This window comes from Homo sapiens, chromosome 6, assembly GCF_000001405.40.
Source record: "Homo sapiens chromosome 6, GRCh38.p14 Primary Assembly".
In the NCBI taxonomy this organism is placed as follows: domain Eukaryota; kingdom Metazoa; phylum Chordata; class Mammalia; order Primates; family Hominidae; genus Homo; species Homo sapiens.
Window position 1 is genome coordinate 47,085,000 of NC_000006.12, and position 11,544 is coordinate 47,096,543.

General features: G+C 42.1%; 1 annotated feature.

Annotated features, from left to right (window-relative positions):
- Window positions 9,494–9,788: a silencer, noted in NCBI's record as "tiled region #10363; K562 Repressive non-DNase unmatched - State 20:ReprD". NCBI's record gives its function as "represses a minimal TATA promoter and a strong SV40 promoter by Sharpr-MPRA in K562 cells {active_cell/tissue: K562}" and the evidence as "EXISTENCE:reporter gene assay evidence [ECO:0000049][PMID:27701403]".

Here is an 11,544-nt window from a genome sequence, read left to right on the forward strand (position 1 = left end):
AGGCAAAGGAAAAATACGTGGCCCTATAAGCACTTATCAAGATATCCTCCTACACTTTAAATCAAGTAAAAGCATTAATAAAACCTCTGCCATTAAAACCAAAACCAAAAATCTTGTCTATACACAAAGCATCTCATCATTACCAACCCTCCTCATATGCCCACACAGGAGGATGCAAGAGCAACGCAGATCCAGGAACCAAGTGCTGATGGGAAACAGCCTTCCCTGTCGCACAATAACCCAATGTCATAAGACAAACAAACAGCAACACCTTGTCTTTATGTAAAATTTTGGTATTTTGTTAATCACAGCTTTTTACAGGAATTTTGTAGTTTTTTTTTCCAGTATTACATTAAAATGTTTATTTTGATTGCTGTGTTTTTTTGGTGCTCCCTTAAATTTTACTCCTGTCTCCCCTGACCCTAATCCCTATGCTGCAGTCGGGCAGCTCCTCCCCACCACAGGGATTTCCAGACCCTTGTCTAGTCATTTATAGAACCCAAAGACACAATAGCCCATGAGTCAGCCAATATTTTGTCCCCCTTAAAAATTCTGGATCTGGCCAGGTGTGGTGGCTCACACCTGTAATCCCAGCCCTTTGGAAGGCTGAGGTAGGTGGATCACCTGAGGTCAGGAGTTCAAGACCAGCCTGACCAACATGGTGAAACCCTGTCTCTACTAAATATAAAATATTAGCCAGGCGTGGTGGTGCATGCCTGTAATCCCAGCTACTTGGGAGGCTGAGACGGGAGGATAGCTTGAACCCAGGAGGTGGAGGTTGCAGTGAGCCGAGATTGCACCATTTCACTCCAGCCTGGGCAACAAGAGCGAAACTGAGTCTCAAAAAAAAAAAAAAAAATTCTGGATCCACCTCATTATTTTCTTATTTATCTCAGCCCTCTTTTCCCCCACCCAGTTTCAAATAAGAAGTTCTTTCTCAAATTCTAATCCACTTTGGAAGGCAATGTGTTCTCTGTAGGTATTGAACCAGAACAAGGTAAGACCTTTTGGACTAAGTCAGACATGTAGATTCCAGAAAACCATGTGAAGGAGTTGCTGAGGTTTGGAGTTCTCAGTTTAATTTGTATTCCTAAAACTTCTTCAGTCCTTGCAATTCCTCATTTACACAAAAAATAATGTGGGATTTGGGGCTGGCCCAGTATGGACTTCTCAGGCACCTTCATGCCTCCACAGCTGTTGATTTTGAAATAGCCCATGCTGACTTGGAAACCGTATCTCAAGGGAGTATGTGAATAATCTGAGGGATTAATGGCAGACAGGTTAAGCAACTTCCCCTGCTTTGTGGCATGGCAATACAGGTGCAAAGACACCAGGTTGAAAGAGGGACAATAATGTTGTTTTGCTCTTTTCCTTCCTTCTACAATATCTTGGAAGTGTAGTCAGCAACCTTCTTACCCACTTGTTTACCCAAATTAGTCCAAAATACTGGTAGTGGCTGGTTGTGGCTGGAACCTCTCTCAGCCTTACCTTCTCTAAGTCCAGGGACAACCAGCTGCAGGAAGCGGGCTTCAAAGGAGAGAGCCAGGAGTTTCTTACACATTTCCGAGCCTTGAACTTCAGTGGCCCTGCCCTTTTATGTTTACATGCCCCTAGTCTTGCTCATATCCCTAAATCTGGGATGTCCCATTTGAATTCTATTGCTTTCCTTCTTGTTCTCATTAAGGCTGGAGGGGTCATTTCTCTAGGGAGCCTTTTTAGATGCTCACATCCGGATTTTGCTAATCCTTTCATTCTGTGATTATAAGCTGAGGCTTCTATTGAGTGGGCCTGAAAATCTGCAGTAGAAGCATATCTGGAAGGCCGTAATCAAGTAAAGTTAAGTTGATATTCCATTTTAATTTCTTTGTTGACTTTTTAGCCATATCTACTTGCATGTTATTTTTAGTGTTTGCTCTAGGAACTATAATATACATTCTTAACTTTTAACAACCAACGTAGAGTTAATATAATACAACTTCATGTCAAATATAACAAATTTGCATCATTTGTGCAATAGTTCTAATAGGTATTACATCTACATATATTATAAGCTTCATATTACAGTGTTGTAATTTGGGGGTATTTTTTTTTAGATGGAGTCTCGCTCTGTTGCCCAGGCTAAAGTGCAGTGGTGCAATCTCTGCTCACCACAACCTCCATCTCCTGAGTTCAAGCGGTTCTCCTGCCTCAGCCTCCCCAGTAGCTGGGACTACAGGCACATGCCACCATGCCTGGCTATGTGCCTCTTTTTAGTAGAGATGGGGTTTCGCTATGTTAGCCAGGCTGGCCTCAAACTCCTGACATCGTGATCCACCTGCCTTGGCCTCCCAAAGTGCTGAGATTATAGGTGTGAGCCACCGTGCCTGGACAATTTTGGGGTCTTTTTAATGCACAGAGGACATCTTTCTGTTTCTTCATACAACAATTAATTTGAGATTATATCCCAGGCATTGCAAAAAAATACGCTGTAGAAACTTTGACTTCTGTTATGTTCCTCTGAAACGTATTGATTTCATGCAGCCATAAAAAAGAATGAGTTCATGTCCTTTGCAGGGACATGGATAAAGCTGGAAGCCATCATTCTCACCAAACTAACACAGGAACAGAAAACCAAACACCGCATGTTCTCACTCATAAGTGGGAGTTGAACAATGAGAACACATGGACACAGGGAGGGGAACATCATACACCGGGGCCTGTCAGAGGATGGGGAGCAAGGGGAGGGAGAGCATTAAGAAAATTACCTAATGTATGTGAGGCTTAAAACCTAGATGATGGGTTGATAGGTGCAGCAAACCACCATGGCACATGTATACCTATGTAACAAACCTACATGTTCTGTACATGTATCCCAGAACTTAAGGTAAAATAAAAAAAAAAAATTCTGCACATGTCCCCTAAACCTGAAATAAAAGGCTTTAAAAAGAAAAAAAAAGATATTGATTTCACAAGACAAGGATGCCTTCTCTCACCACTCCTATTCAACATAGTATTCGAAGTTCTGGCCAGGGCAATCAGGCAAAAGAAAACAATAAAGGGTACTCAAATAGGAAGACAGGAAGTTAAATTGTCTCTGTTTGCAGATGACATGATTGTATATTTAGAAAACCCCATCCTCTCTGCCTAAAATCTCCTTAAGCTGATAAGCAACTTCAGCAAAGTCTCAGGATACAAAGTCAATGTGCAAAAATCATTCCTATACACCAATAGCAGACAAACAGAGAGGCAAATGGTGAGTGAACGCCTACTCACAATTGCTACTAAGAGAATAAAATACCTAGGAATACACCTTACAAGGGATGTGAAGGACCTCTTCAAGGAGAACTACAAACCACTGCCCAAGGAAATAAGAGAGGACACAAACAAATGGAAAAACATTCCATGATTATGGATAGGAAGAATCAGTATTGTGAAAACGGCCTTAGTGCCCAAAGTAATTTATAGATTCAATGCTATCCCCATCAAGCTACCACTGACTTCCTTCACAGAATTGGAAAAAACTACTTTAAACTTCATATAGAACCAAAAAAGAGCCCACATAGCCAAGACAATCCTGGGCAAGAAGAACAAAGCTGGAGGCATCATGCTACCTGACTTCAAACTGTACTACAAGGCTACAGTAGCCAAAACAGCATGGTACTGGTACCAAAACACATATATGGACCAATGGAACAGAACGAAGGCCTCAGAAATAACACCACATATCTACCACCATCTGATCTTTGACAAACCTGACACACACAAGCAATGGGGAAAAGATTCCCTATTTAATAAATGGTGTTGGGAAAAGTGGCTAGCCATATTCAGAAAACAAACTGGACTCCTTCCTTACACCTTATACAAAAATCAATGCAAAATGGATCAAAGACTTAAACATAAGACCTAGGACCATAAAAATCCTAGAAGAAAACCTGGGCAATAGCATTCAGGACATAGGCATGGGCAAAGACTTCATGTCTAAAACACCAAAAGCAGTGGCAACAAAAGCCAAAATTGACAAATGGGATCTAATTCAACTAATGAGCTTCTGCACAGCAAAAGAAACTATCATCAGAGTGAACAGGCAACCTACAGAATGGGAGAAAAGTTTTGCAATCTATCCATCTGACAAAGGGTTAATATCCAGAATCTACAAAGAACTTAAACACATTTACAAGAAAAAAGCAAACAACCCCATCAAAAAATGGGCAAAGGATATCAACAGACACTTCTCAAAAGAAGACATTTATGCAGCCAACAGACATATGAAAAAATGTTCACTGGTCATTAGAGAAATGCAAATCAAAACCACAATGAGATGCCATCTCACACCAGTTAGAATGGCAGTCATTAAAAAGTCAGAAAACAACAGATGCTGGAGAGGTTGCTGAAAAATAGGAACGCTTTTACACTGTTGGTGGGACTGTAAACTAGTTCAACCATTGTGGAAGACAGTGTGGCGATTCCTCAAGGATCTAGGACTAGAAATACCATTTGACCCAGCCATCCCATTACTGGGCATATACCCAAAGGATTATAAATCATTCTACTATAAAGACACGTGCACACGTATGTTTATTGTGGCACTATTCACAACAGCAAAGACTTGGAACCAACCCAAATGTCCACAATGAAAGACTGAATTAAGAAAATGTGGCACATATACACCATGGAATGCTATGCAGCCATAAAAAAGGATGAGTTAATGTTCTTTGCAGGGACACGGTTGAAACTGGAAACCATCATTCTCAGCAAACTATCACAAAATCAGAAAACCAAACACCTCACGTTCTCACTCATAAGTGGGAGTTGAACAATAAAAACACATGGACACAGGGAGGGGAACATCACACACCAGGGTCTGTTGGAGGTGGGGGGCTAAGAGAGGGATAACATTAGGAGAAATATCTAATGTAGGTGACGGGTTGATGGGTGCAGCAAACCACCATGGCACTTGTATACCTATGTAACAAAACTGCACGTTCTGCACATGTATCCCAAAACTTAAAGTATAATAAATAAATAAATAAATAAATAATTGTATTGATTTTGTTTTCTGAAGTTGTTCCCTGTGCATATTATGGTTCAAATTAGTCAGAGATTCAGGTGGAGTTTATAAGCAGAATTTAGGGCTTTCTCTCCCTGACTCCATCTTTTTCAGAATTTTCTCCTCACTTTCCAGCAGCTCTGGTTGTCTTGAATTCCATCTTTGGGTTTTTTAAGCCAGTAAGACATAATTTTCCACTGGTTTTATTCACAACAGAGGGGATAGATTGTGGCCTGCCCTCATGCCAAAAGCTGAAAACAATTTTTTAAAAATTTAAAAAAGAGAAATGTAGCTGGTATCATTCCCTACATCCACAAATCAACTCTCTTCCAGTATCTGTGTGCTTGTACTCACTCCCTTGTGCCTTCAGTTAATTTTTTACGATATTTTGTCCAGATTTTATAGTTGTTATCTTTATGTAGATTGGCTCAATAGAAGGTACTTCACAGGGCCAGAAGCAGAACTCTCTCAAATGATGTCGATTTGGTGTTTCTTCTATTGTAAAAATGGGATGGTGTAGGTGGAGGAACAATTTGAAGTTTCGTTAACAACCTGGTGATATTTTCAGTTCCTGAATATTTTTGTAGTGCCTTCCAAGTTCTTGGCACTGTGATAGGTATTTAGAACACAAAGATAATAAAACCCATCAGCCCTGCTTTTGACTCAGCTTACACTTTTATTCCAGTTAAGAGAAAAGAACAATCTTCCCTGCCTTCTGGTCTACAAAATGGGAGCTCTCTATTGGCTTCAGCCTAGAAAAGGGGTTAAACTCATTATCACAACTGACAGGGAGGGGTAGGAACACAACTCGGTGCTAAATTGCATCCTTGTCGCTGCTATTTCACTCTATCCCTATGCCAACCCCAGTGATACCATTGATGTGTTTTCCTCACCCTCCTCTTACAGATGAAAAAAAAAATGAAACTCGAAAAGGTTCAATGTGATTTGGCTTTAGTCGCATGGTTAGTAAAGGGAGGAACTGAACAGCAAACGCAGTCTGTCTGACTCTAAACCCTGATTTCTTTCCACTTCCATTGACCAAATTTGGAAATATCCGGCCTTCACCTCACCATTCCCATCTCACTCTCATCATATCACTGGACTCCAGTTTCCTTGTCTGTAAAGATAAAACTAACATGTGCTCTTGGTGTCTGGCCTTGCCCCATCGTGCCCTGCCCTACCTTTCCAAGATAGACCAGATGATTTAAGGACTTTGGTGTTTCTATTGAATCGTAAAGTCTACCTTTTGAATACTGTGAGGATAAATCACTTTCAAGGTCTTTTGTTTTAAACTAGGAATCTCTGAGTTTCAGGCAACCTGCACCATTGCCCTTGGAGCTCCCTTCTCTGAACTCCTGTGATTCTTTTTGTTTTTTGGAGACAGAGTCTCACTTTGTCACCCAGATTGGAGTGCAGTGACACGATCTCTGCTCCCTGCAACCTCCCACCTCCTGGGTTCAAGCAATCGGTTCTCCTGCCTCAGGCTCCTGAGTTGCTAGGACTACAGGAGGGTGCCACCGTGCCCAGCTAACTTGTATTTTTAGTAGAGACAGGGTTTTGCCATGTTACCCAGGCTGGTCTCGAAGTCCTGACCTGAAGTGATCTGCCCACCTCAGCCTCCCAAAGTGCTGCGATTTCAGGCGTGAGCCACCATACTCATATTTCTCCGTATTTTTAAAGATACTAAGTCCCAGACAGGTTGACTTGTCCAAAGTCACAAAAGTTAGATGTGACAAGGATTTCCCCCAGCTTTCCCTTCTCCGCCCTTCAGTGAGACTGTGGCTGTCCTAATCCTGACTCACACAGTGGAAACTTAGCAAGTGATATTAATGATAATCACATTCACTACCATATATGAAGACCCTGCTTGCCTACTGGGAACTGTCAGTAGCTGTACTCACATTATTCAAACGTAACAGCAATCTTGCAAGTTAGCTGTCACTGGACCTGGCTTACAGATAAAAACAAAAAAGGAGATTTTTGAAATGTTAGCCATCCCAGTCAAAGTTTCACAGTCAGCAAATGGCAGATCTGTGATTTGAAACCACATTCCAAGGCCCATACTCTTTCCAGTGATTTTTTTTCTTTATGCCATCTTTCCAAGGGGAAAAGATAACATGGAAATGTGACAAACTGTGAGGAGAATTTACAGTCTGCAGTCACTTGATTCAATGTATTCACTAGCAAAAATTCCCTCATTTATTTTCAGCCTGATTACCGCAGTTCTTGAGTAGTGTATCAGATAATGCTCTTTTTGTCCACCCTGTGGTGCAGAGCAGACAGAGGCCTTGGAAAGGTAGCTCACACAGCAGTGATGGGGCAAGATGGGTCCAGTGTAACAAATCCACCAAATTAATGCCAAGGACACAGGGACTCCAACACTGTTTTCCGGAGGAATACACTGAACTGAGTCACTTGGGTATAAACATGTGTTTCTGCTCAGCAGAGCCAGACCCCACCTAACAAGCTGTTTCAGGGATATAAGCTGAACTAATCTGTTTGCTCGTGAGGGTTGACTCCCAGCTGATGTATTGCAGTTGTTCTTGGCTCTACAAGCAAATGGGCATAAGGGAGTAATTGCTGTAGGTTCCCCAACTTGACAACCAAAACTCCTGAGTGTTTACTGGGCATGCTCCATCCTGGCAGCTACTTTCAGCTCTCAGGAGAGACAAAGCCAGAGAAACGAAGGAAAAAACCAGGTGGTGAGGGTTCAGCTTTACCTAGTAAAGCCAAAAATAGATAACGAATTGTCAAATGGTCCTGAAAATGTGTAAATATGACAAATGAGATCTGTTCTGAACTTCCGTGGGACTTAATCCCTGTGCTGATTCAGATTTTGTTGTTGTTGTTTTTTGTTTTTTGTTTTGTTTTGTTTTGCTTTTGAGACAGAGTTGCCCATTCTGGAGTGCTCTGTTGCCCAGGCTGGAGTGCAGTGGAATGATATCGGATCTCTACAATCTCCATCTTCTGGGTTCAAGAGATTCTCATGCCTCAGCTTCCTGTGTAGCTGAAATTACAGGTGCATGCCACCATGCCCAGCTAATTTTTGTATTTTTAGTAGAGACAGGGTTTCATTATGTTGGCCAGGCTGGTCTAGAACTCCTGACCTCAGGTGATCCTCCTGCCTTGGCCTCCCAAGGTGCTGAGATTACAGGTATGAGCCACCATGCCCAGACCTGATTTAGATGTTTTGCTCAGGGCTTGGATGTAAATTCCTCCCATGTAGACACATAGCTATATGCATCCAAGTAGTCATGGTAGGCAGGTGTAATTGTTTTCAAGCTATTTCCTTACAGATCGTGTTGATAATCGAGTGGAATGGACGTGGAGCAAGGCATGTTGCACAACGCTGAGATACGCACACTGTGCATTTACAGGCCCATAAACCAAGAGGCCAAACAGCCACAGTGGAAAAACCAAGAGGATAAAAGGGTAGTTTCTTACCTCACCATTACCTTTATATGCTGGGGCACAACCCTTAGCTTGCCTGTGATAGCAAACACATGACTGAGTAACTAGATATCAGAAGACCTAGGTTCTAGTCTGAGCTCTTCCATGTTCCCACTTTGCAACTTGGTGGCCTCAGTTTCTTAAAATCTGGGCTTTTGGCTCTTGATATAGAAAACAGGAAGCACAACAGGGTAAAAAGTGCATTAAACTTGGACTAAACGACCTGGGGGAAGGTATTTAACCTCTCATAGCTGACTTGATGCAAAAGTCATTTTTCCACAATAATTTATGGAGTATTCTCTGGGAGTGTGGCAAAAAGCAAAATAGGCAAAACCCCTGCTCTTATGGAGCTTACCTTTTAGGCAAATAGACAATAAGAAAATAAACAAATATGTAGACATAGAATACAATGCCAGATAGTGAGAAGCTGTATGAAAAAAAAAAAACTGGGATAAGGAAAAAAGGAGGGTTTGCCATTTTAGAGTGGCCAGAGGCAAATAATACTGAGAAGCTGTATGAAAAAAAATAAACTGGGATTAGGAAAAAAGGAGGGTTTGCCATTTTAGAGTGGCCAGAGGCAAATAATATTGACCTCAGCAAGTTATTTTGAGAAAGCTAAAGGGTAATGTATTTTAATGTATTACATCATGAAGTAAATGTACCATAGTATTGTTATTATTATTATTATTTTTTTGGAATGGCTGAAAGGACAACTTCCCACAAGATGAGAGTGGCATTTTCAGGCTATGTTCATGACTAAGTAACAAAGCTCAGCATACCAATTGCTGGCTTTTCATTTTCTCTGGTTTCTTTCAGTGCTGCTTTCTCAGCTTTCTGGGTTTTTTTTGTCTTCCTCATTTTTCTTTTTTTCATTTCTGCAGTGGGAACTTGACCTTTGGTAGCATGAACTTAATGAATGTAAAAACTTCTTATGAGCAAGTGGTGTTTGAAGGCACTTGATAAGGAGTCCATGGGTCATCTCTGTTCCCCAGCATTTGGGGATCAGCACAGGGCTCAGGCTTGGAGGCATGATGAGGAGCCTGTTTGTTTTGGAGAGACCGGTCCACCAGGTGGTAGAACCGTCCTGTTCAGGAAATGAGCCCTGAAGCAGTCAGGCCAGTGGAATTCCTCTGCCCAGAGCACAACAAAGGGCTCCACTGTGCAGCCACATCCTGGTCCAGAAAGTGCCTGCAGGTAGCAAAACTCAGACCATGCACTAGTCTGACTCTTGGGTTCAAGGTTCCAGAATTAATGGAATGGATTTTCAGGGTTTTGGAAGAAAGCCAGTCACTGAGAGCTGACTCTCCCTCATCTGAAGCAAAACTCTCTGTTTAGTTCAAGTGCAACTCAATCTACAGGTTTCTAAGGAGTTGCCACCTCAAGCTACAGATCATTGCCCGTTGTGTAAACAGCATTGTGGGAAATTACAAAATTTAAAAAAACATTTTAAATGTTTCTGCTTGTCTGGTCAACAGGCACTTTCCAATATCCTTTGAATCTGTTGCTGTTTCACATGCTTCTCACCTAAAACTGTTTATGGAATGGACTCTTTCCTAGAAACTTATGGCACCCAGCCTTCAAGATGGCCCTTAGTTAGCCTCACTTCTGAGTATCCATGCCCTCTGTAGTCCCCTCTTACCTTGAAGCAGGACTGATTCATGTGACCAATAGAATACAGCAGAAATGGCAGTGGGTGATTTCTGAGGCTAGGTCAGAAAAGGCATTGCAGGCCAGGCATGGTGGCTCATGCCCATAATCCCAGCACTTTGGATGGCAGAGGTGGATGGACCACTTGAGGTCAGGAGTTTGAGACTAGCCTGGCCAACATGGCAAAATGCCATCTCTACTAAAAATACAAAAATTAGCTGGGCATGGTGGCACATGCCTGTAATCCCAGCTACTCGGGAGGCTGAGGTAAGGGAATCCCTTGAATCCTGGAGGCAGAGGTTGCAGGGAGCTGAATCATGGCACTGCACTCCAGCCTGGGTGACAGATCAAGACTTCATCTCAGAAAAAAAAAAAAAAAAAGAAGGCATTGCGGCTTCTATCTTGGCCTCTTGAGTTGCTCAGTCTTGGGGAAATGGGCCACCCTACCATGAGGACACTCCAGCAGCTCCACAGAGAGGCTCCCTGGGACTTCTCACCTATGGCCAGGCATGTAAGGAAGCAGCTTTGGAAGTGGATCTTCATTCTTAATCAAGCCTTCCTGTTTCTGGAGCTCTGGCCAGCATCTAACCACAACCCAAAGGAAGACCTTCAGTTCCCAGCCAGAGAAGTCACTCCTGCATCCCTGAACTAGTATTGTGAGAGATAATAAATAATTCTTGTGTTAAGCCACTATGTTGAGCATCATTTGTTATACAGCAAGAGATAATTAATACAAAACTTATTCTAAGGTGCCAAGATTGAATGGAAGAGACTACAGTCTCCTGAACCCAATGAGTTTGAATCTCTTCAGTCTGAGTAACAGATTCCGATGAATGCTGCACAATTTTGCCCAATACCACACCAGTAATTCTTAGAAAATCTTTTCCTATAATTGACATTGAATTTTGGGGTACTCATCAAGTCCTAATTTTTGTCTTTAAGAAACTTGGGATCATTCTAAGGAACAAGCCTGCCAAGCACTGCCTCTGAGCATGATCTTACAGATGTACTGAGTTTCACATTGTTCTTAAATTCTATAGATGATACACCAGCTTTATGTTTAGCCATGCTTAGTATCTGAGAAGGGTTGAAGGCTGCTGGAAGGATGTACATTAGCTCCCTGGCATTTCTGGCTTGCTATGTGCATGGCCACAAAGGGTTTCTCTCTCCACAAAAAGCCAGAAAACAAATGGACACAGACGCTGACAGTTGCAAACTAAACCAACAAGCTCAGAAACGGTAAGACTTGAGGGGATACCGGGGGGTGCACCAACATCTGTTTCAGTTACCACATCCAGGCCTCAGGCACAGGAAGAGGGCAAAGATCTAGTCATCAACATTGTGGCTACAGCACGGTGACTGAGACTTAGGAACAAAATCAAAGCCCAGTTTTCCAAACAGATGATGAATTCAAGCCAGAT